This window comes from Homo sapiens, chromosome 22 (genome assembly GCF_000001405.40).
Source record: "Homo sapiens chromosome 22, GRCh38.p14 Primary Assembly".
Lineage (NCBI taxonomy): Eukaryota > Metazoa > Chordata > Mammalia > Primates > Hominidae > Homo > Homo sapiens.
Window position 1 is genome coordinate 32,387,424 of NC_000022.11, and position 26,044 is coordinate 32,413,467.

A 26,044-nucleotide genomic window follows, 5' to 3' on the forward strand; every position below is an offset into this window, starting at 1 on the left:
CTCTTCAATGTGTTCCACTATCCATTCATCTAACAGCCTGATTACAACTCCCTGGGTGCTCTCCAAGTAAGAGGGGTATTTAGGGTTTTGCTGAGTGCAGGGGTGATGCCTAAATGGGTGGATGAATGGACAAACTGACAAAGCAACAGACGAAAGGAAACATTCCAAAACCTTATTGAACAGAACTTTCTTCATGACACCTCTCGGAATGTAAACAGAGCTTGGTGTGAAGAAGATCAATCTGATGGCTAAAGATCAGTATGACTGCGTAAGGCAGTTTGACATCTACCCATCCCTAACAGATTTTCCTAAAACTCTGTGGAACAACCAAGGAGAAGGCATATTCCTCCCTTTCCAAAGGTGGGCAATGTGCCTCTTCCTGGAAGGTTATTTTACAAGCACGGGCCCCTGAAAGCAGCAGCCTCCCCATCAGCCATTTTGGCGTGAGCAGTTACAGCTGCACACTTTGCAACTTGTCCCGCCTTGAGTCTGATGTCAGAAGAGCATGTCAGTCCACTTCCACTTCAGAGAGGGTTGGTGGTGTCAGGCAGCCCTGCTGTCCAAGGTTCTATCCTTTGATCACAGCAATTGGTCTCAGTTTAATGGCTTTCTTGCTGATTCCAGCATCATGGCAGGTATTTACCACATCTGTCACATTCTTATAGGACTCAGGAGCCTGCAGGAGAGGAATTTAAACATTGTACAAGTCCACTGAAAACACAGTCTTTACAAGCACCAAACTTCACTTGTGATGAAATAAATGCACACTAAAATAATACAGAGAGTTTTTTTTTGCCTATGAAATTAGCAAAAATTTAAAAAAGAAGTAAGCCTGATGTTGGTCAGTGCTGATTTCCAAAACACTTTCACCTTTTTTTTTTTCTGTATTTTTCAAAATGTCTTTAAAGAACATGTATTACTTGTATAACTAGGAAATGTAGTAAATGTAAGTAAATAAAACACACACCAGAACCTGATTGGAAGAAACGGCACCCAACCATCATATGTTAGTGATAATTATCTCTTGATGGTAGAATTACTGGCAATTTTAATTTTCTTCCTTTATATATTTCTGCAGTTATCAAAATTTCTGGAATGAACATGTAGTACCTTCACAGTAAGTTATAAAATTCATATATGTATAAAACAAAGTAAAACTGTGTGCACATGTATATGTGGGTATCTATGTGTACCTACACTCACAGACAATTTCTGTGACTTTCCAGCAACATTCCCACCATTCCATCCTACCCACACAGCCTTGCCACCATTAGCACTAATCTCATCACACACTCACTTTATCTTCATTCCTGTCAATACAAGCTTAGGCCATCCATGCTGATTCCCGTACGGTTCTGTACATAATATCCTTTTCTATCCCATCTCCCATTCCCTTCCAGTTTCTGAAACTTTCCCACTGTGGCCTCTGGAACTCCTTCCAGAAGGAGCAAAATCCCCTCCCTCCCTTCTTCTTTGAATGTTCCCTTCACCTTCTTGTTTTACTGAAACACGGATCTTTCCCGAGGATACCACTTTCATCTCCAACTTTCTGAATGGTGACTGCTGTTTTCCCCAAATCAGGTCATGCCATTGGTCCCAGAAGTGGGACAGGTGTGCTCCTGGCTTTCATGGTTGTTTCTATTCTCCCGTTCTCCCTAGGCACTCCTAGTTTTGAATCTTGCAGTCATTACATCGTACCACAAACTACCTTTGGCTGTAGTTATCTGTGGGAGCCTGAATCACTCCCCAGTACTACTTGGCGATTTCTAGCTCCTGGCAATCAGATGAAATTCCACTGGGCCAATGACTGTCTCTCCCCTAGATGAATATTTCATACCTTTTCTCAGATCCCACTCTCACTTGCTGACCTTACTATGTAATACACTGAAAAAAATAGAAGCAGCCAGAATATTCATAAACATGCTAACTTTATCTTCCCCACATATCTGTATCTATACCTTCTCTCCTTTTATTTTTTTACTCTGTCACCCAAGGTTGAGTCCAGTGGCACAATCATAGCTCACTGAGACTACAGGCATGTGCCACTGTGCCTAATTTTTTTTATTTTTGTAGAGATGGGGTCTTGCTTTGTAGCTCAGGCTGGTCTCAAACTCCTGGCTTTAAGCGATACTCTCACCTCAGCCTCCCGAAAGTGCTGGGATTACAGGTGTGAGCCACTGTGCTCAGCTTCTTCTCTCCTTTTATAAAGGATGAATTATCTGTGCTCCTAGCAAAGACCAACCCCATCCACTTGTACATCAGACTCTATCTCCTCTCATCTATTCAAGGACACTTCTCCAGCAATTTCCTCCCTCTTTTCTGCATCATTAATTTCTCTTGTAGATTCTTCTCATCAACATGCAAACACATTTGTCAGATCACGTCACTATTCTGCTCAAAATCCTCCAAGGTTTTTTCATTTTAATCAGAGTAAAAGCAAAAGTCCAAATGCTCTGGCGCCCCCTACCTCTCTGACCTCATCTCCCTCTGGCTTGCTCTTGTCATGCCTGGCCTCCTTGCTGTTTCTTGAACACTCCTTCATAACCTCAGCTCACAGATTTTGCGCTTGCTGTTCTCTCTGCCTCGAAAGCTCACCTCCAGATGCCCAGGTAGCCTGTTTCCTCTCTCTCTTCAGGTCTTTGCTCTACTGTCACCTCACTGAAGTCTTCTCCGACCACCTGCTTAAAACTGTACCCCTTCCCACCTTTCCTTACCACCTTTCCCTGCTTTTTATTTCATAGAACTTGCATGGTCATTAACACACTGTATGTTTTATTATTTGGAAAGCTCCACAACGAAGGGACTCGTGTTTCTTTTGTTCACTGCAGTATCTCTAGCATATAGAACAGTACCTAACTATAGCGGATGGTTAGTACGTGTTAGCTGAGTAAGTGAATCAAATAATCACGTGTTGCAGGTGAAAAAACAAAACAAAACCAAAAAACCAAAAATCCAAATTTTAACTGTAATTATTTCTGGCTGATTGAATTCTAAATGTTTTCTGTTTTCTCCTTTGTATTTTCCAAATCCTTTTTTTTTTTTTGAGATGGAGTGTTGCTCTGTCGCCCAGGCTGGAGTGCAGTAGCGCGATCTCGGCTCACTGCAAGCTCCGCCTCCCGCGTTCACGCCGTTCTCCTGCCTCAGCCTCCCGAGTAGCTAGAGCTACAGGCGCCCGCCACCACGCCCGGCTAATTTTTTGTATTTTTAGTAGAGATGGGGTTTCACCGTGTTAGCCAGGATGGTCTTGATCTCCTCACCTTGTGATCCACCCGCCTCAGCCTCCCAAAATGCTGGGATTACAGGCCTGAGCCACTGCACCTGGCCAGTATATTCCAAATCTTTTAAATTAACCATGTATTCTTAAGATCAGGGGAAAAATGAATTGTTATTAAAAAAAATAAGTCTTTGTCATACTCTGACTCAGTAATTCCACTTTTTTTCCTTATTTTTTTTTAGAGATAGGGTCTTGCTTTGCACCAAGTCTGGACAATCACATAGCTTACTGTAACCTCAAGGTCCTGGGCTCAAGCAATCCTCCAGCTTCAGTCTCCTGAGTTGCTAGGACTACACCTGGCTAATCTTTGGCCAAACTAATCTTGAACTCCTGGCCTCAAGAGATCTTCCTGCATTGGCCTCCCAAAGTACTGGGATTATAGGCATGAGCCACCATGTAACTCCACTTTTGAGACTTTGTTCTAATTACTATAACAACTGGAAAAAACCTTCATGCATGAAGACACTCATTACAATTTAATTTATAGTAGCAAAAATTTGGAAGCTACTTAAATGTCCACTACAGGCAGAAAGTAAGGTACTCAGCTGGTGGAATATTCAGCAATGATTTTAAAAAGTGACACAAACAATTTTATAATAATGTGCAAAATTTTAAAAATAACTACAGAATGTTTCTTAACTATAATTAAGACTAGCTTTAAAAAAAGCATTTAGGAAAAAACTATGACAATAAGTAAATTTTTTTTTTTTTTTTTTGAGACGGAGTCTTACTTTGTCATCTAGGCTGGAGTGCAGTGGCATGATCTTGGCTCACTGCAACCTCTGCCTCCCGGATTCAAGTGATTTTCCTGTCTCGGCCTCCTGAGTAGCTGCGATTATGGGTGTCCACCACCATGCCCAGCTAATTTTTGTATTTTTAGTAGGGGTTTCACCATGTTGATCAGGCTGGTCTCAAACTCCTGACCTCATGTGATCTGCCCACCTCGGCCTCCCAAAATGCTGTGATTACAGGCGTGAGCCACCACGCCCGGCCGACAATAATAAGTATTCTAAAAGATAAGGTAATAACTGTGTCAGGGCATTGAGTTTTTGGATGACTGTTTTTCTTTTCTCTTAAATCATTAAGGAATTATATTGCTTTTAATTTAAATATGTACATATATGTAAACATATATACAGAATTTAAACAAAATCTGTTCTCCTGTGAATCAAATAAAACTTTCTCCAAACATTTATGCCTTCCTTTTTCAAATTTGCTTTCAAATTGAAACCTAAGTATACAATTGTGCAAAAACAAGAGTCAGCTCAAACTACTCTTGAAAAGCTTAATATGTAGATGGAGACTATAAATGAACAGTAAAAATCATTCTTAAGGACTTGGCTCGTAATTTTAACCAAAAGAAATGAAAACATAAAACTGAAATAAGCTAATCCAAGGAAGATAAGCCAAAATTGAGGTCATAAAAAAAAATAACCCAAACAATTTCTGTTAGTAACACCCTAAATTGCTGTCTCTGTAGACTGGAACAAATTACAAATGGGGAACAATAAATATTCATGTATTTATCAAAATTTCACTTACCTCTTCCATAACCAGTTTGGGTGAGGCAACACGGATCGCAATTCCCATATCTGCCAATTTGTCTAAGACATCCTGGAAATCTAAATTACGTCGAGATTTTGCTCGGGACAATGCACGGCCCTAGAATGGGAAAGGAATGAACTTTACTTTAAACCCTAAGATGATAAGCCCTTTCCCTGATTTTCTCTCACACTAAAAAGGAGCTTAAAAAAACATCTTTTTTACTTTATCGAATTGGTAACAGGCCTTTTAAACCTCATCATATCCTTTTAGATTTTGGACCGGAGAATTCTTTGTTGGGAGGCTGTCCTATGCAGGGTATTCAGCAGCGCAGCGCAGTGTATTCAGCAGCATCCCTCGCCTCTAAGACCCACTAAATGCCAATAGCAACTCCCACTAAACCATGACAATAAAAAAAGCCTCCAGAAATTGTCAATGTCCCCATGGCGGTAGGGGGATCTCCTTTGTTGAAAACTACTGGGTTAAAATTAGGAGTTGGGAGGCAGCTAGAAATGAGAAACAATCAGAAAAAAAAGTAGGATTAAATACATTTGTGAAGGTCTGTCCTAGGAGAAGGTACTCTAGACAGTTTCTCTTTCCCATTTCAACACTGGCTCAACACTCTGGATGGCTTAGAAAAGGGGCCGGCAAACTACGGTGTATGGGCCAAATATGGCCCACCACCTGCTTTTTAAAATAAACTATTTTGTTTTTTGAGAAAGGGTCTCCCTCTGTCACCCAGACTGGAGTGAAGTGACATAATCATAGCTCACTGCAGCCTTAATCTCCTGGGCTCAAGCAATCCTCCTGCCTTAGCCTCCTGAGTAGCTATGACTACAGGTGTGCCACCACACCCGGCTAATTTAAAAAGTTTTTGTGGAGACGGTGTCTTGCTAATGTTGCCCAGTCTAGTCTTGAATTCCCGGCTTCAAGTGCTCCTCCTGCCCTGGCCTCCCAAAGTGCTGTAATTACAAGTGTGAGCAACCATGCCTGGCCTAAAATAGTTCTATTAGAACACAGCATTGCCCATTTACACAGTACTTAAGGTTGCTTCTGCACTGAAATGGCATAGCTGAATAGCTGGTACACAGACCATCTGGTCCCAAAAGCCTAAAATATTTACGGTCTGGCCCTTTATGGGAAGAGTTTCCTGACCCCTGGGCTTAGAAGATGAGAGGCAGTGTTTTGAAATGGGTGTGTGTGTAGACTGTACATGGGCTCTAATTTGCAAATAGGGCCTATCCTTCCAATCTTGCGTGGACCTACACAATAGGAAGGGGCAAATTAAACAAAGGAGCAGGTCCAGTCAGTCGCTGAGATCAACTGTGATATTTGCATCAGTTAAAGTTCTATCACTTATAAACCAGACAGTAAGCTCAGCTAGTGTGACAATTTCCCAGTCTGGATTTTCTGGACTTGCAGAGATAAGAAACGGTCCCTAACCCTACCAGATCTCACTGAGGCAGAGATACTAGGTGACCCCAGTCAGTTCACTAAATAGTATACATTATGGGGAACAATTTGAAGTACAAGACATGATAGGCCCAAGTCTCAACTCTGTTAATGTTCAATCAGCTACATTTACCAGTCAAAATGGAAAACCATAGCTAAACTGAAGAGAGCATTTCTAAGGAAGTTTCTGTTTTCCTTACCGCTCCATGACAGGTTGTTCCAAAGGTCTCAGTCATGCCCTGTTCAGTGCCAGTAAGAACATAACTACAGGTTCCCATGGTGCCACCAATGAGCACTGGCTGTCCAGTGAGCTGAGGATGCACATAAATCAAACATGTTAAAATTCAGAAAAACATAGGCTTTTTATGCATAAAATTTAAATTTTCTCTTGCACTGTAGGATTGTAGGAGAAACCCAGACTTCTTTTTTTTTTTTTTGAGATGGGAGTCTTGCTCTGTCGCCCAGGCTGGAGTGCAGTGGCGGGATCTCGGCTCACTGCAAGCTCCGCCTCCTGGGTTCACGCCATTCTCTTGCCTCAGCCTCCCGAGTTGCTGGGACCACAGGCGCCTGCTGCCATGCCCAGCTAATTTTTTGTATTTTTAGTAGAGGCGGAGTTTCACCATGTTAGCCAGGATGGTCTCGATCTCCCGAACTCGTGATTTGCCCGCCTTGGCCTCCGAAAGTGCTGGGATTACAGGCGTAAGCCACCACACCCGGCCGGAGAAACCCAGACTTCTAAACGCGCGGCTAGTAAACTATATTAAGATAGTACTTTGATTCTTTGATAAATCGGAGGGGAAGGAAGAGGACGAGAGTGAAAATCTGAGGACCAGTAAAAATGCAGAAGAGTCAAAATAAGAGCAAAGCAAAATCCAAAAGTGTAGAGAAGTGTTGCTAGAACCACCATCCTGAGCAAGGTGCTTGTCTTCTCTGTTTTGGGTTTCTCATCTGTAAAAGGAGCAAGCAGACTATGGGGTCTTTCGAACTCCACCACAGCCAGACACCAAGAGGACAGGAGGAATGAAACAGACTGAGTTTACTCTGTCTTCTGTAACTGAGTTACTCCTGTCTTCCACTAATTCAAAGGCCTCAATTCACGGTAGTGGAGTAAAATACACTTCCTGCAGCACTTGCTATAGCACACGGCACCACCGCAAGCACAAATGATGGGGGAAGGAGTTACTGCTTCAGAGAAGATTGGGAATCACTGTTCTCATGAGTGACAGAGTATTTTCTTTTCACAATTGCTGCTTTTCGTTTTAAATGTAATTCACATTTGCAACAATCTAAATCGTGCCCCCACTGCTTAAAACTACAAACGTAGAGCTACGTACTTGGTAATCAACAGCAATGAGGGGATGGTGAGGAGGGAAAGCGCGGGTGGATCCCTTCCTGTGTACTAACAGTGTCCGTTCCTTTCCGTCCACCACATGCTGCTCCACTTTGGCAATGTTGTGAGAAACATCATAGATCACATGTAGGTCCAAGTCATCAGGGGTTGTGTTGAAGACCTTGGCGAAAGCCTAGGAGAAAACACAGAAGATAAAAGCAGCCAGAACTTCAGGACTTATGTTCAGCTCTTCGTGACTCATCTCACTGGTTTCAGGTAGTCTGTTCTGAAGGGAGTAAAAGATTTAAAAGTTCAAAAGTAGCCGTAAGATTATCTTCACGTAAAGGACAAAAGCTGTCCTTTAGACCACACAGGAAATGCCACCACATCATTTTCATCTTTAGTTGAAAAGCTGCTGGGCAACTTTTGATCCCACCTTTCAAAATTGCTTCTTCTCAGCCTTCTGAATCTTAGTCAGTGGCACTTTTATTCTCTATGCTGTTCAAGACAAATTCTAGGAATAATTTTGATTCTCTGCTCTCATTTCTCATGCCTGATACTCTGATGATTTAGTTTAAGACAACACCAAAACCTTGGACACTTCTCTGGTATTTTGAAAGTTAACTATGTGAATTTCCAAAACCAAACACCATAGGCTTTGACTGGACTGCACGATGTTTTTTTCTTTTGGAGACAGGAGTCTCACTCTGTCACCCAGGCTGGAGTGCAGTGGCACGATCTCGGCTCACTGCAAGCTCCACTTTCCAGGTTCACACCATTCTGCTGCCTCAGCCTCCCGAGTAGCTGGGACTACATGCACCCGCCACGACGACCAGCTAAGCTAATTTTTTGTATTTTTAGTAGAGACGGGGTTTCACCGTGTTAGCCAGGATGGTCTGGATCTCCTAACCTTGTGATCCGCCCCCCCTCGGCCTCCCAAAGTGTTGGGATTACAGGCATGAGCCACCGTGTCCAGCCTGGACTGCACTATGTTTTAAAGCACTTAACATCATCATGAATGACTCGGAACAGAAGAGCAACTTCTACTGTACCTGACGGGTTAAGAAGGTCATGGAAGAGCGGTTGACCCAGGCATAGTTCCCAGCAGCTGCCATTCCCTTCAGATAGTCTTGACCCTCTGGGGAAGCGATTCGAGCACAAGCCAACTGCCGATCATTGACTATAATCTTGTCTCTCTTCATGGCCTTCTCCATAGCTACCAGCGCATCTGGAACAAGAGCCACAAAGTCCAAACCAGTTAGCTTTCCCTTAAATGAACAGTTCAGATTTACTGCAGAAAGGTAGGCTACATTCAAATTCATTCCACAAAAAAACCCAATGAAAGCCAACTTTCCCTTTAATGTGTTTCTGAGTTCATCTATTTGCTCAGTCAAGACGTACTTGAGAATCTTTCAGAGTGCAGTGACAGTTTGTGGGACACAAAGTCAACATTTGCCCTCTAGGAACTTGAAAGAGAATGGGATGTGTAAACAAATAGCCACAAGATGGTCTTCATTACTCCTTTCTCAATATGTGAATGCATGGGAATAGTAGTAGCAAAATACATTTTGTTGCCTTCATGATTAATCAAATCCATGACAAAATGCAGAGAAGTACTCAGGGGAATGTTCTGAAACACTAGTTGACACTTCGTACATCTGCTAGGTTAAATAGTCTAGAGGGTCAGGCTGGCACAAATTATTAAATTCTCACACAATAAAATGGACTAGAGGCTGATCTGTAACATGGAATTTTAAGCTTATAACAATTTCCAGGCATCTATATACCTTTTCATTGATTCGCTGTTGGAGGCCGAAAGAATGAGGGTCGTGAACAACTCAGTATACCACTGGAGGCTATGAGTAAACAGCAAACTGTTCTTATGAATGCAAGATGCTGGCAAGCTGACAACTGCGTCTGTTGCCCAGAAGGAATGCTGAGGGCAGCCACGCCCCAGGCACAAGTGTTTCTTGTGACAGGCACATGTGAAGCCTGTTAGCAATAATATGAACCTGGGATCAATCAAGCAGCTGACCAATAGTTACCTCCTCCTCCCTGCTCTTTCTACCCAATAAATACAAAGGGCTGTGGAAGCTCACTAGAAGCAAGAAGCCCCTGACTCCTTCTTTAAAAGTTTCTTTTGTTTTTTGTTTTCATTTCTGCGTTCATCCCGCTTCATTCAGTCCTGTAGTAACCGTCACAATTCATACATTATTTCACACACCCTCCAAGCTATCCAAAAGGACCTATCCAATATTTCGCTGCTTCCTGCTTTTGTTCATGCTGCCTTTGTCACCAGTCTTTGTGTGTAATTGTCCAAACTGTGAGATCCAGCTCAACACTGGGTCCATGAAGCCATCTCCAAAATCTTTTTCTTAAATGTGTTTTGTTTGACTCTCCTATATAATTAATTGCTACCTTTTAATATTTATTTTTTCTTTTAAATGGACATGACCTTTACTTCATGAGACAATTTGAGTGCAAAGTATCTGCCTCTTTCATCAGCAAATCCACCATCACATCTACTGTTGCAGAGCAGGTATATGATACATAATCTGCCAAATGAAAGCCTATTTCATAAATTCCACTCTTTACACATTTCTTGCTCTTTCTTGGCCAGATAGTAACTCATAAGAGTAAACATAACAATAACTGCAACTAACATTTATTGAGTGTTTACTAATGTCAAACATTAAGTGCTTTACATATATTATTAACTTTCCATGATAATTCTATATGAAATAACTATTATACTCATTTTTTTAGACAAGAAAGTTATGGCCCAGTGAATTTGTCCAAGTTATTTAATTGTTGAGGACTCAGGATAAAACCCATGCAGTATATTTCAGAGTTTTCGCTCTTAAATTTCTATCTGGTTGCCCATAAAATGTACATTTTAGCACAAAGTCTAGAATATACCTGTGGCTACTTGGTGGCCCAAGCCTCTGCTTCCACTGTGGATCATCACACACACCTGTCCCTTATGGTCGATGCCCATTTTTTTAGCAGCATACTCATTGAAAATCTCATCCACAACCTGGATTTCTGCATAATGGTTGCCTGCTCCCAGGGTCCCCAACTGCAAATGTAAAAATGTCTGGTAAGATAGTTTTTATTCCAGTTTTTTTTTTAATCTATTTAAAAACCAAAAAGATAAAAACAAACTAACAACAAAATAAACATACAAATAGTGTTTCAGTAACAAAAAAATTCCTAAGCTATAGAAGTGTTTCATTTACAATATTCTACACAACAAAATAACGTAGACTAGCTCCTGAATTTTGTTATATCATTATATGCTTGGTATACACATATAAAAAACTAACACAGGAACAGAAAACCAAACACCACGGGTTCTCACTCATAAGTGGGAGCTGAACAATGAGAACACATGGACACAGGGAGGGGAACATCACATACCAGAGCCTGTCGAGGAGTGGGAGGAAAGGGGAGGGAGAGCATTAGGACAAATACCTAATGCACGTGGGGCTTAAAACCTAGATGATGGACTGACAGGTGCAGCAAACCACCATGGCAAATGTATACCTATGTCACAAACCAGCACATGTATCCCAGAACTTAAAGTAAATAAATTAATTTTTTAAAAAAAGCTTCATAAACAAAAAAAATCAAGCTTTTAAATGGTTCATGGGATATTTTAAACATCACAAAGAGTCAAATTTTGGGATAAATGTTGGTAAATGTTGACTCTTAGACAAGGTCCAAGTTCAAATGATTTTGAAACATCTATGAGTTCATGGACATCCACCATTATTTATAACTGAAAGAACATATACCACAACTACAGCTAATATTAATAGATGATTTAGAGAACTAGAGAATGTCAGTGCTGGAAGAGTCTTTAGAGGTTGCCTAGTTTTAACCATCCCAGTTTTCCATAAGAAAATGAGATCCAGAGAAGACAGTCTTGCCCACGTGTCACACTGAATTAGTGGCAAAGCCTTCACAACTAGCTGTAATTTCAAACATCTAGTATATTCTTATCTCATGGATACCATCTGTAGACTGTCAAAATATGTATATATGTAATTTTGACGTATGAACCTGATAAACATATTCTATTTTTCTCCCATTCACTTCTAATTCATTATTTCTTATTTTATGAACATTTGCAAGCTCCTGATTGCTCTGTCACCCAGGCTGGAGTGCACTGGCGTGATCACAGCTCACTGCAGCCTCAAACTCCTAGGCTCAAGCAGTCCTCCTGTCTTAGCCTTCTGAGTAGCTGGGATTACTTGCATGTGCCACCATGCCTGGCTAATTTTTTTTTTTTTTAATTTTTGTAGAGACTAAGTCTTCTTATGTTGCCCAGGCTGGTCTCGAACTCCTGGCCTCAAGCGAACCTTCCTCCTTGGCCTCTCAAAGCTGGTGTGAGCCACCGCATCCAGCCCTGATAGTTTTTTTAGAATAAAAATGAAGCATAAACAAATTTGTATTTTTTGATATACCATAAAAAAACCTGGGAATATGTTTGCTAAATGTAAGATATAGATTTTTTTCCCCCAATAAAAACAAAATATGAAAAAAAAATTAACATGTTGCCCCTCCAAAGTGAGTTACCTGAGGAAGGCCTCTTTTCTTCGCCCTTGCAGAAACTTTATTGGGGTCAGCCTGCAGCATCCTTCCGTACTCCTCGCAGTGCTCCTTGTCTTCAGCCCAGGCATACCCTTCTCTTAAGGACCAGTCCACCCCCATCTCCAAGGCCTCCTCCAAGTCTCTGGATAAGTATAAAAGGTGCTAGTCATCTCACAGCAAAGGCAGATCAAAACCTAAGGATGACCACATCCTTAAAGGGCAGAGAAAAACTCGACATTTACTATCTCCTGTGTTCCAAGCCTTGAGTCAGATACAAAGTTTAAGCTCTCAGTAACTGGTTTTTTGAGGAATGCAGTCATATAAATAATTCCAATATAAAATGATAAATGCCCTATTAGACATCATTATAGTTCTACTTGACATTTATACTGCTCCTTGTTAATTTTCAAATCTTTTTTATATTCAGTTTTGCCTCTCTGATCCTGAATTCCATGAGGTAGTGATTAAACAGACAAAAACAAAACAAAACAAAAAACAACAACAACAACTCTGTAACCTTAATCAGCTATCACTCTCTAACGACTAATTCAACCAGGTACACACCTTAATCATTTATGAATTACGGTCAAATAAATGAAGGTATCTAGAATTCCTCAGGCAACACAGGTTAAATTTTAAGCTGTTTTCCCATCTTCACAGAAGTTCTGAGTGGCTTACGGCACCTCCATTTTGAAGCTGAGGTACACGTACATTAAACCCTTAGAGGGTACAAGCTTTAATCTTCATCCAAGGTCCAGCTCTCTTCTAAAACACTGCCAGGAAAAACTACACTTTTCAATGTTCTCTCCCCACTACCCCAGATGACAGCCCATTTCACTATCATTATTTCATTTTGTTATTATTTTTTACTGCTCCTTGCAGAGCAGGGTCACCCCATAGGCAGTGTGCCCAGAGTAGACCCATTTCAGTATTAGTAGACAAAATTCCTATCTAAAATGTTTATAAAGATGTTTGGAATTTGTGTGTTCCACGTATGCTTTTCAAATTGGGGCTGCATGTCAGGGATCATGTGAAATCACAGACCACGCATCATCCAAGTATATTGATTTTACTTAGGTATTTTTTTTGGTTAGGGGGAGTTAAATAACATTACAAGTAACAGCTAAAAACATTTTTTTCTATTAATTATAATGCAAAGTTCACATAAATTTGAAGGATAAAGCAAAATATTAAAGAAACATAGCTAGCACACTATTCTGCTACTGAAGTACTCTGCAAAGTTTAGGGTGCACTGCTTTGCATAAGCTATGACACGGTAAAATCTATGGCCATCTGAGAGATACACTATAGCATTATATTTAATCCTCTACTTACCAAAGAACACATCCAGTGCTATCATTCAAAGAGGAAGGTTGGGGTTAAATAGGCTTAATGACAAAAGGCAGTAGGATTCAGAATACAGCTTCTGAAGTCAAAGGATCTTTGGTTTGAATCCTGATATCACCTACTAAGTTTTTTTTTTTTTTTTTTTAATTGAGACAGGGTCACTCTGTTGCCCACGCTGGGGTGCAGTACTGAGATCTCAGCACACTGCCGCCTTGAACTCCTGGTCTCTCAAGGGATCCTTCTGCTTCAGCCTCCTGAGTAGGTGGGACTACAGTCACAAGCCATCATGCCTAGTTAATTTTTTTTTTTTAGAGACGAGATCTATGTTGCCTAGGTTCATCTTTTACTCCTGGACTCAAGTGATCCTCCTGCCTTGGCCTCCCAAAGTGTTGGGATTCTGTAAACCCAACCACACCTGGCACTAAGCTTATTACCTCTCTAAACCTCAGTTTTCTTTCTTGTAAGTTAGGGAAGATAATAGGGTTATTGTCTGGATGAAATGATATGATGCTCAGCACCTTACACATAGAAAGTGCTCAATAAACGTTGGTGGATATGATGTTATTATAAATACTACTCTATGTCAAAGGCTGTTATAACATCGGTTGACTAATGTCTCCAATAAATGGGCTGTACCTCATGCTTAAAAAAACAGTTCTTACTACTTCCTGAAAAGTAACTGAACAATCCTCATCTCTCAAGTGTACTGCACTGGAAAGGAAGCTGAAGGTCATGTGGTTATTATCCCTCCCATACCATGTACTGGAAACGTGTGCTCTTACTTGGCATTCATTGGGATGACACCTTTTGACCCCACCCCAACAGGAATGTGGTCAAACATAGCTTGGGCAAGTTGCTCCTTCACAGGCTGGACATCACTTTCATCTAAATTGGTTCTTAGCAAGCGGACACCACAGTTGATGTCAAACCCGACACCACCTACAAAATAGAGAAAAGTTAGCAAAACCAGCTGGTAAGGCACTGTTACCTGCAGTTTCTCGCCATTAATATGGAACTATAAAGATACCCATTCTTTTAAAGATAACTATGTTTTAAAGTAGACAACAAAGTGGTTCTTTGCTGAGTAAAGCTTGATGACACCAAGATAATCTAAAGTAACATACACACTAAAGGCACTTTATGGACAAGGGAGGCAGCAATGAACATTGAGTAACATGTAAAACAGAGATCAAAATATGCCTCTCTTTTCTTCTTGACCACTGTTTTCACAGGTTCATGAATTTTTTCAGTCTTTTCAAATAACCAACTTTTGCGTTTCTTGGTCCTTTCTATAACATATCTTTCCATTTCACTAATTTTACTCCTAATTATTCCATCTTTCTACTTTTTTAGGGTATAATTTGTTGTGCTTTCTAGGGTCACTGATATTCCAGCCTTTCTTCTTTCCCAATTTGTGCATTTAAGGCTGCATGTTTCCATTCAAAAAGGACATTAACAGTGACCTCAAAATTTTAGACATAAGTACTTTTATTTTTCATTTTTGAGACGGAGTCTCACTCTGTCGCCCAGGCTGGAGTACAGTGGGGTGATCTCGGCTCACTGCAACCTCCGCCTCCTGCATTCAAGTGATTCTCCTGCCTCAGCCTCCCGAATAGCTGAGATTACAGGCGTGCGCCACCACACCCAGCTAATTTCTTTTATTTTTAGTAGAGACGGGGTTTCACCATGTTGGCCAGGATGGTCTTGAACTCCTGATCTCATGATCCACCCACCTCAGCCTCCTAAAGTGCTGGGATTACAGGCGTGAGCCACCACACCTGGCTGACTTTTGTTTTTTTGAGACAGGTTCTTGTTCTCTCACCCAGGCTGAAGTGCAGTGGAGTAATCATAGCTCACAGCAGCCTCGACTTCCCGGCTCCAGCAATCCTCTCACCTCAGTCTCCTGAGTAGCTGGGACTACAGGTGTGTGCCACCAGGCCTGATTAACTTTTGTATTATGCGTAGGGATGGGGTTTCACCATGTTTCCTAGGCCAGTCTCAAACTCCTGGGCTCAAGTGATCCTCCTGCCTCGGCCTCCCAAGATGCTGGAATTATAGGTATGAGCCACCGCATCCAGCCTATAAGTATTTTTTAAATCATTTTCTCCTCAGCTTGAGAGATGACCGGCAAATAAATGGCAAATAAAAACTGTATATATTGGCAGGGTGCAGGGGCTCGTGCCTGTAATCCCAGCACTTTGGGAGGCCGAGGCGGGCGGATCATGAGGTCAGGAGATCGAGAACATCCTGGCTAACGCAGTGAAACCCCGTCTCTACTAAAAATACAAAAAAATTAGCGGGGTATGGTGGCGGGTGCCTGTAGTCCCAGCCACTCAGGAGGCTGAGGCAGGAGAATGGCGTGAACCCAGAAGGCGGAGCTTGCAGTGAGCCAAGATTGCACCAGTGCACTCCAGCCCGGGCAACAGAGCGAGACTCCGTCTCAAAAAAAAAAGAAAAAAAAACCTGTATATATTTAGGTGTACACAATGTACATTTACATTGTGAAGTAATTATCACAATCAAGCTAATTAACCTATTTATGATCTCACAGTTACTTCCCCTTCTGTTTTTCTGGTGAGAACATTTAAGATTTATTTTCTTAGAAAATGTCAAGTACACAATATTTTATTTTAGAGACAGGGTCTTGCTTTGTTGCCCAGGCTAGGTCATAGCTCACTGAAGCCTCCAAGTCCTGGGCTCAAGCTATCCTCCCACCTCAGCCTCTGAATTGCCTGGGACTATAGGTATTAGGCTGGTGCAAAAGTAATTGTGCTTTTTGCCATTAAAAGTAATACAATACAATACATTATTATTAACTACAGTCACTATGTTATACATTAGATTTCCAGAACTCATTCATCTTAAAACTGAAATTCTGTATACTCTAACATCCACCCTGTTAGCACCATTCTACTCTCTCTGTGAGTTTAACATTTTTAGATTGCACATATGGGCAAAATCATGTAGTATTTTCGTTTCTGTGTCTGGCCTATTTCTCAGCATATCCTCTAGTTTCATCCATGCTGTAGTAAATGGCAGGATTCCCTGTCTTTTCCCTTCAATTTTAAAAGATTGATTTCTTTCTTTATTAAGGTTGAATAATGCATTCAGGCTGTTTCCGTATCTTGGCTACTGTGAACAATGCTACAATGAACATGGGAGGGCAGGTATCTCTTTGGATACTGATTTCATTTCCTTTGGATATACACCCAGTGATGCAATTGCTGGATCATATGGTAGTTCTATTTTCGATTTTTTGAGGAATCTCCATACTGTTTACCATAATGGCTGTGCCAATTTACACTCCCTCCAATAGCATAGAAGGGTGTCCTTTACTTAACTCAATGTCAATTTTTAGACACAAGTATTTTCTACTTACATTAGTTATTTTCTCATTTCCATAGTTTTGTTTTTGACTCATGGGTTACTTAAAAGTATACTACTTAATTTCCAAATATATGGATTTTCTTTTTTGAGATCATGCCAGACTAGAGTGCAGCGGTGTGATCATAGCTCACTGTAGCCTCAACTTCCTGGGCTCAGGTGGTTCTCTGGATTCGGCCTTCCCAGTAGCTAGAACTACAGATGTGCGCCACCATACCCAGCTATTCTAAAACTTTTTGTAGAGATGGGGGTCTCCCTATGTTGTGCAGGCTGGTTTCAAACTTCTGGTCTCATGTGATCCTCCTGCTTTGGCCTCCCAAAGTTTTTCTAGTTTGTTTGTTTGTTTTTGAGACAGGGTCTCACTCTGTCGCCCATGCTGGACTGCAGTGGCGCAATCTCAGCTCACGGCAACCTCTGCCTCCTAGACCCAAGTGATCCTCCCACCTTGGCCCTCCCAAGTAACTGGCACTACAGGCGCATGCCCCCATGCCCGGCTAATTTTTTGTATTTTTTTTTTTTTAGAGACGGGGTTTTGTCATGTTGCCCCTGGCTGTTCTCAAACTCCTGAGCTCAAGCCATCCGCCCGCCTTGGCCTCCCAAAGTGCTAGGTCTAGTTTTTATTTAAACCATTTCTAATTTAATTCCACTGTGGTCAGAAAATATCCTCTTATATGAGTGGGTTCTTTAGTATGGTCCAGAGACCCTGGGGTGGGGGTGAGGGGGAAGACCATTTCAGGTGTGTAAGATTCATTTTATAATACTAAGACATTATTTGTCTATTTTATTCATATTCTCCCATGACTGTACAGTGAGATTTCTCAAAAGCTATATGACATAACATCTTTGTTCTAATGGATGAGACATGTACTTATATATTCTTGTCTTTAAAAAATGTGTTTTAATTTCTAATAAGGTAAACATTGATAAGAGTCTGAGATTAATCCTCAATAATTATTACTAAAGTGGTCCCGAGTGCAAAAAGTTTGAGGACTGCTGGTCTATATGATTTCAATGCTTTGAAATTTGATGCCTGCTTTACCGCTCAGCATGTGGTCAGTTTTGGTAAACTGTGTGCATTTGAAAAAAAATGTATACTCTGCACTGCTTGGCTGTACTACAATGCAAGTGCACATACACACACACAACCACACATGTATATTAGAGGTCACGTGTCAAGTTTGTTATTGGATCATTCAAATCATGTATATTCTTACTGACTGAAATTTGCAGTCACCTCCAAACAGCCCTACATGTAGGGCTCACATATCTGGAACTTTTTCTTCTTTTCCTCTAGATCTTGACTTCGCAAATTCTTACTGCCTTAGCAGATTTTCTGTGCCTTCAAACAGATTTAAGAAAAAATTTTTTACCCAGCCTTTCTAATTATTTTCAGCAGGGGATTGGTCTGAAACAACCTAGTCCACCACTGCTAGAAACAGAACTCTCAAGATGTCATTTAAACTTCATTTCTAAATTCACACTCTTTAACAGCAAAGATATTACTTCTGATATAGAATGTTTATTGAAAGCACCCCATAACCACAGCAGAAGGCGTATGCAACCTTCTGTATATTCAATGTTATCATTGAATAACAATGATAGTATTACTGAATATGTTCTACCTGCTTAGCACTGTTCTAAATATTTTACACAGCTGAACTCATCTAAGCTACTAATACTGTGTGGTCATTAACATTATTAGACGTGATCTGTCCACGAGGTAACTGATTTACAAAGATAAAAAAAAATTGCCAGTTTGTTTTGTAGCCAAAGTCTGAATACCATGATGTTTGGTAGGAGCCTCCCAAAATTTTCAATAAAAATATGCTTTGCTTGAAGTTGTAATAGCCTCTCAGTATCCACAAGCAATACTTCCAGTAAATATCAAAGAAAAATGACAGAACATGATGAGACTGAGTCATGCACATGGAGAGAAGTGCTCTGTTTCACAAAGGCTATGGTCCATAGAGAGAAGCTACACACATTTTTTTTTGAGATGGGGTCTTGCTCTGTCACCAGGCTGGAGTACAGTGGCACGAACTCGGCTCACTGCAACCTCCGCCTCCCGGGTTCAAGTGATTCTCCTGCCTCAGCCTCCCAAGTAGCTGGGAGTACAGGTGCGCGTCACCACCCCCAGCTAATTTTTCTATTTTTAATAGAGACACGGTTTCACCATGTTGGCCAAGATGGTTTTGATCTCTTGACCTCATGATCCACCCGCCTCGGCCTCCCAAAGTGCTGGGATTACAGACGTGAGCCACCGTGCCCGGCCAATGCTACACACTTAACAGCAGATGTCCACAGTGATCTTACCTGGGGATACTACTGCTTCAGGGTCATTCATATCAAAGGCTGCCATGTTCCCAATAGCAAACCCATATCCTGAATGGACATCAGGAAGCCCAATAGATCGCTGAAAAAGAATTAGAAAATGAAATACAAGTGTCTTGACCTGCTACCCTGGATGCCCTGATGGACCTGACACTGATTCTCAAACAGGTTGCAGGCTGAAGCTTTCCCTAAATCAAGACTGTGTTTTCACAAAATCTTCTATATGCATGGAAATAGTAAGAACTCCTAATCACAAAGCTAAATACAGTGAGAAAAAAACTTTTTTATAAGATCTGAATGTTAATTAAGGAAATACAAAACAGAAAAGCCTCAAAATAACATGATATAGGAGTAACACATACTAAGTTTAATGTACTATTACATTTTAAAAATAATCTTAAGACACTGACAAACTTTGGTTTGTCAGGTTAAGAAGAGGAAAATAACTGATTTATATAGGTCATTAGTTTAAGTAATCACAGCCAAATGTAATCCATTTGATGGTATAAATACTGTAGACTTCCTACATGTGGAGCCTAGAAAAGGACCCTGACCCAGGAAGAATGCAGGTCAAACACAGGATATATGGAGATACCCAGACACTAACAACTTCCTTATATACACAAGCCATACCATTTCATTCCCTCTACCAAGTGCCCAACATGGTAACTGGCATAAAGAAGACCTCAAAAATGTCTGCCGAATAGATCCATTTTCAACATCTACCTCTGATAGAATATGAATGTTAAACTGTGGTGGGGGCTATGCTGTCCTCTCTTCCTCCCCCTCAGTGCTAACCCTTAAACTTCTTGCCATTTCTTCTTCAATGATCCTCTGCATAGGAAGTGAAACTTACAACCAAGCGAAACTTACAATGAAACTTACATTGAAACAGTGAAGTGAAACTTACAATGAAACTTACAATGGTGGTGCACTGATCCAGGAATAATGTTACCATGATAAGAAACAAAACACAAAAACTACTTCGAAGGTTCTTAACACTTACAGATTCTAGCCAAATGCATTCAGAAACTGAAATACCATCCAGATTCAATTATTTCTTTAGGTCCATGGTTATTTCCTTTTATTTTTTATTTTTAGGGACAGGGTCTCACTCTGCCATCCACGCTAAAAGTGCAGTGGCGTGATCATGGCTCAGTGCAGTGTGGAACTCTGGGCTCAAGCAATCCTCCCACTTAGCATTCTAAGTAGCTGGGACAACAAGCATGTGACATCACACCTGACTAATTTTTTTGGTATAGACAGGGTCTTGCCATGTTGCCCAGACTAGTCTTGAATTCCTGGGCTCATGCAATCCTTCCATCTTGGTCTCTCAAAGTGTTGCGGGTGGCATGAGCCACTGAGCCTGGCTTCATGGTTATGTCTGGCTGTCCAAAGGTCATTGTCTAAATGACACCACTATCAGGCATGGCCATTCATCCATTCAATGGACTTTAAGAAATATAAATGATTAAAGTTCTGAACTCTGACTCACATGAACAATTCCAGGCAGGGCTGCCACATTGCCAATCTGTTTCATGGCTGGCAGGAAGCCACCAACACCTGAAGACAAAAATTGGGTATTAGAAAAGACAACACACTTGATTTTTAGCATGAATTATATTCATGTTTTTAGACTGTATAACGTGAAGAGGTAGTCATTAGGGCTACTAAGACAACAAAGCCTAGAAGGATGTTTGAGATGCAAGATGGAAGGGAGCTCCTTTTAGAGTCACTGTAAGTATTGCATGAGATAATCTCTGCAAAGCACCTAGTAACATGCCTGGAATATAGTAAGTGCAAAACAAATGGTAGGTCACTTGCTATTATTGTTCAAGGTTAGCTGAGAAACAAGTTCTACCCAGCTTCAAATTCCAGATGGAGCTTCAAATCCGTTCTATAACGCCAACTGGCTGACAATGTGATCACAAATAAGTAAGTGCTTTTGGTCTTACTTTTAAGTTGTAATCACTCCTTGACAATATTTCAGAATTATAATTATTTGAGTTGCCACTTTTTCAGGCCACAGGGAAGGCACTACCGTACTAACACAAGTGAAACTCTAATGTACTTACCACCACCTCGACAGGCATTCCTTAATTCCTCAAACATCAATTTCTCCAGAGCATCATTCACATAGAAAACACCTTCAACCTAGTACCAAGGAAAGTGAAAAGCAATGTCTGAGTACATGCGCGGCAAGTGTAGGCACTGGACAGAATGCACTGTATGCAATATTTACTGTGCTTTACTCTTTACCAAACACTTTCACGTTACCTTAAGCACACAGAAAACTTCCTATCAAAGACTACGAGCTGCTCCCATCGGAAAATATACCTTAAGAAAAATTCTGCAATGTTCACAAATTGTTTTGTTTATTCTCATACCCTCAAAACCACATTTAAGAATTCAACAGATTCAGCATCTTTTTGTGATAAAGAAAAATCTTCCAACTATACTCTCACAAAGCCCAAAGGTCTTAATCCTCAAGCTTCAAAAATATCAATGGTTTTTTGAAAATTAAAAAAAAAAACCAAATGAATCAAAAAGTCCAATTCTAAACATAAAACGTAGTCATCTAACCTAGTATGTTTATTCTGTGTTTAAGCCAATAGCAAATTACATTTTATTGTGCTCTAGTGGTGACTTACAAATCTCTAGTTAGGTAAATAGTGAGAAGAAAAATTTAACATGCAGCTACGTAGTTGTGTGCTCAGTTCTGAAAGCTATATAATTTTTTAAAAAATCTATAATTTTAAAGCTTGACAATAGAGGCAGCACACAGAAGGCAATGGACGACATACTTATGTAACACTAAAGAGCAGAACATTTTTATCACAGGTCAAATATTGTGAAAGAGCTGTCCAGTAATGGAGAACCAAAGATTTAACACTTAATCAATTGAATGTAGTTTTTATCAGAAAGATGACTTCATCACCATTGCATAAATAACAATTTAATACCCACTGATGGAAAATATTTCCAGTATAATTTCTTAAGGGTCACATTTATTAATTCACCAAACATTAACTGAGGATTTACTATGCATGAAGCACTGTCCTGGGCACTAGGGGAGATAGAAAGAATATAAGATCTTCCTTTCAAGGAGCTCCCAGTACACAATACAGCTCTTATATACTTTTGTTTTTTTTTTTTGAGACTGAGTCTTGCTCTGTCACCCAGGCTGGAGTGCAGTGGCATGATCTCGGCTCACTGCAAGCTCTGCCTCCTGGGTTCACGCCATTCTCCTGCCTCAGCCTCCCGAGTAGCTGGGACTACAGGTGCCCGCCACCACGCCCAGCTAATTTTTTGTATTTTTAGTAGAGACGAAGTTTCACGTGTTAGCCAGGATGGTCTCGATCTCCTGACCTCATGATCCGCCCATCTCAGCCTCCCAAAGTGCTGGGATTGCAGGCGTGAGCCACCGCACCCAGCCAGTACAGCCCTTATATTCTGATAAGAATATCAGAGTGCAATGAAGCAAGTGCCATAACATTAAGTACACAGTGCTATGGAAGAATCTGATGAGGAAGTGCCTCAACAGTCTAGGGAGCTGGGAGAGGTTTCACAGAGATCCTGTAGAGCTGGTTCTTTGAAGACAAGAGACATCACTGGCGCAGCAGAACATCTAGGAACTAAACGCAAAAATGACGTAAAGATGGGAAGGGAGTGTTTTAAGGGAATAAAGAGAAATTTTTAGTCCAACATGTGGGTCTTGGGGGAGAAATGGAGATTTAGTAACAGATGATTATCTGTGTGAAATTCACTGCTCTCATATGGAAGCACAATTCACGCTTAGAAGTCAATAGCGTTTTAAGAGCAATGCATTAACATTCCAAGTCTCTATTCCCAAAGGAAAGGTGGTAGTAAAGTGCTGTATACAAACTTAAACCAGAACTGCCTAGCAAAATGAGACTTGCCCCTAGATAGAATGAGCAGCAGTGTGTGCATCAAAGGCTGAGTCAGAACACCTGCCAGACAATGACAGTCTGTGTTATTAGATCCTACAGATAATCATGTCATGGTGTTTTCTTTTTCTTTTCTTTTTTTTTTTTTTTGAGACTCACTCTGTCACCTAGGCTGGAGTGCAGTTTAGAATGATCACGGGTCACTGCAGCCAAGATCTCCCAGGCTCAAGCGATCCCCCTGCCTCAGCCTCCTGAGTAGCTGTGGTGCACACCACCCCGCCTGGCTAATTAAATTTTTTTTGTAGAGACAGGGTCCCACTATATTGCCCAGGCAGGTCTCCAAAGTCCTAGGCACAAAGGATCTTCCCGCCTTGGCCTCCCAAAGCGTTGGGATTACAGGCCATGAACCACTGCGCTCTCCCTATGTTAGATTTTCTATTCCTTCCTTCAGGGTAACGGTTTCCACACAAAGAAAGTGGCCAAACAGCAAACAGAACACAGATTTATCCCCGTGCGCTTTTTCTTCCCTCAGTGTAAGTGACTTGCCAACAAGGGAAACTCAGTAAGCTTTGATTCTGAATAAAAGAATGGAGTGACTATTGGGAGCTGTTTACCAAGACGTGAGACGAGACGGTAAACCTTTGAAGCATTTACTTGGCACCTTCAGGGATTTCAAAAACTATTTAAAAATACGTTGCAAAACTTCATAAACGTTTTCTTTTTTCACATTAATAAAAATATGAGCACAGATGGTGATGAAGGCCGAGAGATACAGAGCCCAGGCTTTCAAACTATCTGATGATCCTGAGCCCTCAAGTCTCCATCTGGGACGTCAAAGAAGTAAACCGGACATCAAGTCCTGGCTGAGCTTCTTCCTAGGTGGGTAGAGGAAGCTATGTCACCGACAGATCCTCGAGGTCCTTCTGTGAAGTGAATATTAAAATCAAACAGGCCCTGCCCTGCGCTACTGCAAGAAATGACATCGCTTTATTAAAAACCAACATGCGATACTGAATGCTGAAAACCTGGTTTAGTGAACAAAGGTTTGTAAACGTTATTTAAATAACCAGCATGACTCAGAGGAGGTGAATTCCAGTCCCAGCAAATGAACCTGGGGCTGGCTGTTCCACCCTGGAAAAGATCACTGAAGTTTCTGTGAACGTAAAACAGCTCACGATACGTTTATGAGACTGATCTGTGAAAACGCTTTGGAAACCCCAATTTCGTATTTATTTAGATTCCCATATCCACCGCACTTAGCTTGTCCTCGTGGTTCGGGGACCTCTCCTGGCGGGAGGTGGTGCCGGAACAGGTTGGGCGGCCCCAGAACCGTGAGGGGAGAAGGACGGGATGAGGGAAACTCTGCAAGGGGCCGGGGCGGACCCAGTGGTCAGGGGAGGTCCAGAGGGCGCAGTGGACGCCGGCCGGGCCGGGGACGGAGCACGGAAGGCCCCGCCATTTGCTCTCCTGCCTTACCTGCATGTTGGGCACGAAGCCCTTCTTGATCCTCCAGCAGTTTTTATTGATCTTCTCCAAGAACTGCAGCTCATCATTATAGCTGCGACTCATGGTGGCGAAAACTGTAGCAAAAACTCCCGGCTCCGCTTTGAAGAGCCGCTGCCGCGTAGTCCGGCTTCTCAGAGCACCGCCTTCCAAGAACCAAAGCGCAGGCGCGACCAGCGCCGCAGCAGATGAGCAACGGCAAGCGCCGAGGCTCAAAATTCTTCAGGCCAATGTCTTTCCTCTGGTTAAGTTGTACTGTCCTGTAGTGTATAACTTTAGGATCTTTATTAGTCGATTTCCTCTAAACTACAGCTAAGCGAAATCCAGAAGTTTAAAGTATAATCTAGTTATCTTTTGTTTTGGAAATGCTTTTCAGCAGCTTATGAAAACACCTTGAGTCTGGGTCAGGTTCGGTGCATTGGCTTGGAGTTTACACCCTCAGCTGGGAGGGGAAAAAGATAACGCCAGCAGCTGAGAAAGAAAAACCTGTTTGAGTAAATACCATAGCTGAACATTTATGTTTCAGAATGAATCTGGATATACACCAAATAACTTTTTTGGTCAGAAAGGAGCATCCCAAAGAATGAAGCATGGCAGCTTATCATTTATTCTGACAAACACTTGTGGGTGCATCTATTGTGGCCAGACATATACTACAAAATGATCAAATCACAGCCCTTATGGATCGCCAAAACTCCCCAGTCTAGCCGCATTTGATGATCAAGACCTCTTTAATCATGCTTTTATACGCCGTGTCTCTTGTTCATAGTGGTAAGTGAGCTTTAAGTGATTTCAGTTTCCAGTTCGGCCTCATGTCAACAACTGCAACTTTGGGATTAGAAAGACGCAAGATTCAATTTCTATCTGTGCCATTTACTGACTTGGTGTGATTAACCCCTCTTATCTCTGTTTCGTCATCTCTAAAATGGGATCATAATTCTTTCTTGAGTAGAAGGCTAAATGAAGTGACACTGGAGGGGTAATCAGCACGGGGCTTGGCACACGGCAAGCACTCTATAAACAGCTCTCCTCTTTCCATTCCCCCACTAGACTGTAAGTGCTGCAAAAAACAGTATGTAGTTTCCATTCATTTGTTGCATTATCTACACTGGTTCCGCTTTTCTTCTCTTCTGCCCCAATTTCTCCCCATTGATTAGGTGCTCTGACACATTAATATCATTCTCAGTTATGAATTGTCTGAGTTTAGTACTCTGCACTGCCATTTCATTGAATCTGTGGTGGGTGAAAAATCCCAAAGCTTGAAGTGATACAACTTTTAGAGTTTCCTGTGGTTACCCTGTTCCTTCTTGGAAAGATTTCAGAGGTAAAGAATTCTCTTTTAAAATCAAGCCTTGATGTCTGTGCAACCTTAGGTCT

At 41.3% G+C, this 26,044-nt stretch overlaps 1 protein-coding gene across 1 annotated transcript, besides 2 other annotated features; it reads right to left on the bottom strand.

Annotated features, from left to right (window-relative positions):
- Window positions 1-158: 158 nt before the first annotated feature.
- Window positions 159-24,824, bottom strand: RTCB (RNA 2',3'-cyclic phosphate and 5'-OH ligase). The gene is made up of 12 exons (NM_014306.5): window positions 24,641-24,824; window positions 21,332-21,410; window positions 20,752-20,819; window positions 19,239-19,338; window positions 14,324-14,480; window positions 12,180-12,336; window positions 10,518-10,677; window positions 8,651-8,826; window positions 7,603-7,791; window positions 6,469-6,579; window positions 4,817-4,936; window positions 159-676 (listed from the first exon to the last, which is right to left on the bottom strand). The coding sequence occupies exons 1-12, from the start codon at window positions 24,731-24,733 to the stop codon at window positions 569-571; spliced, it is 1,518 nt and encodes a 505-aa protein (NP_055121.1). The 5' UTR covers window positions 24,734-24,824; the 3' UTR covers window positions 159-568.
- Window positions 7,240-7,437: a silencer, noted in NCBI's record as "fragment chr22:32790650-32790847 (GRCh37/hg19 assembly coordinates)". NCBI's record gives its function as "represses an EF-1alpha promoter that drives an FKBP-Casp9 reporter gene in an ReSE screen in phorbol 12-myristate 13-acetate-treated (for megakaryocytic differentiation) K562 erythroleukemia cells {active_cell/tissue: K562(+PMA)}" and the evidence as "EXISTENCE:reporter gene assay evidence [ECO:0000049][PMID:32094911]".
- Window positions 24,794-24,973: an enhancer, noted in NCBI's record as "active region_18876". NCBI's record gives its function as "activates an Ori minimal core promoter by ATAC-STARR-seq in GM12878 lymphoblastoid cells {active_cell/tissue: GM12878}" and the evidence as "EXISTENCE:reporter gene assay evidence [ECO:0000049][PMID:35858748]".

Excerpts from the sequence above, each read along its gene's own strand:
- RTCB (NM_014306.5), bottom strand. The coding sequence starts at position 24,733 with ATGAGTCGCAGCTATAATGATGAGCTGCAGTTCTTGGAGAAGATCAAT. Across the intron at positions 8,827-10,517 it reads GGGCCACCAAGTAGCCACAG|ATGCGCTGGTAGCTATGGAG; the intron begins GTATATTCTAGA and ends CTCTTGTTCCAG. Across the intron at positions 6,580-7,602 it reads TCATTGCTGTTGATTACCAA|CTCACTGGACAGCCAGTGCT; the intron begins GTACGTAGCTCT and ends GTGCATCCTCAG.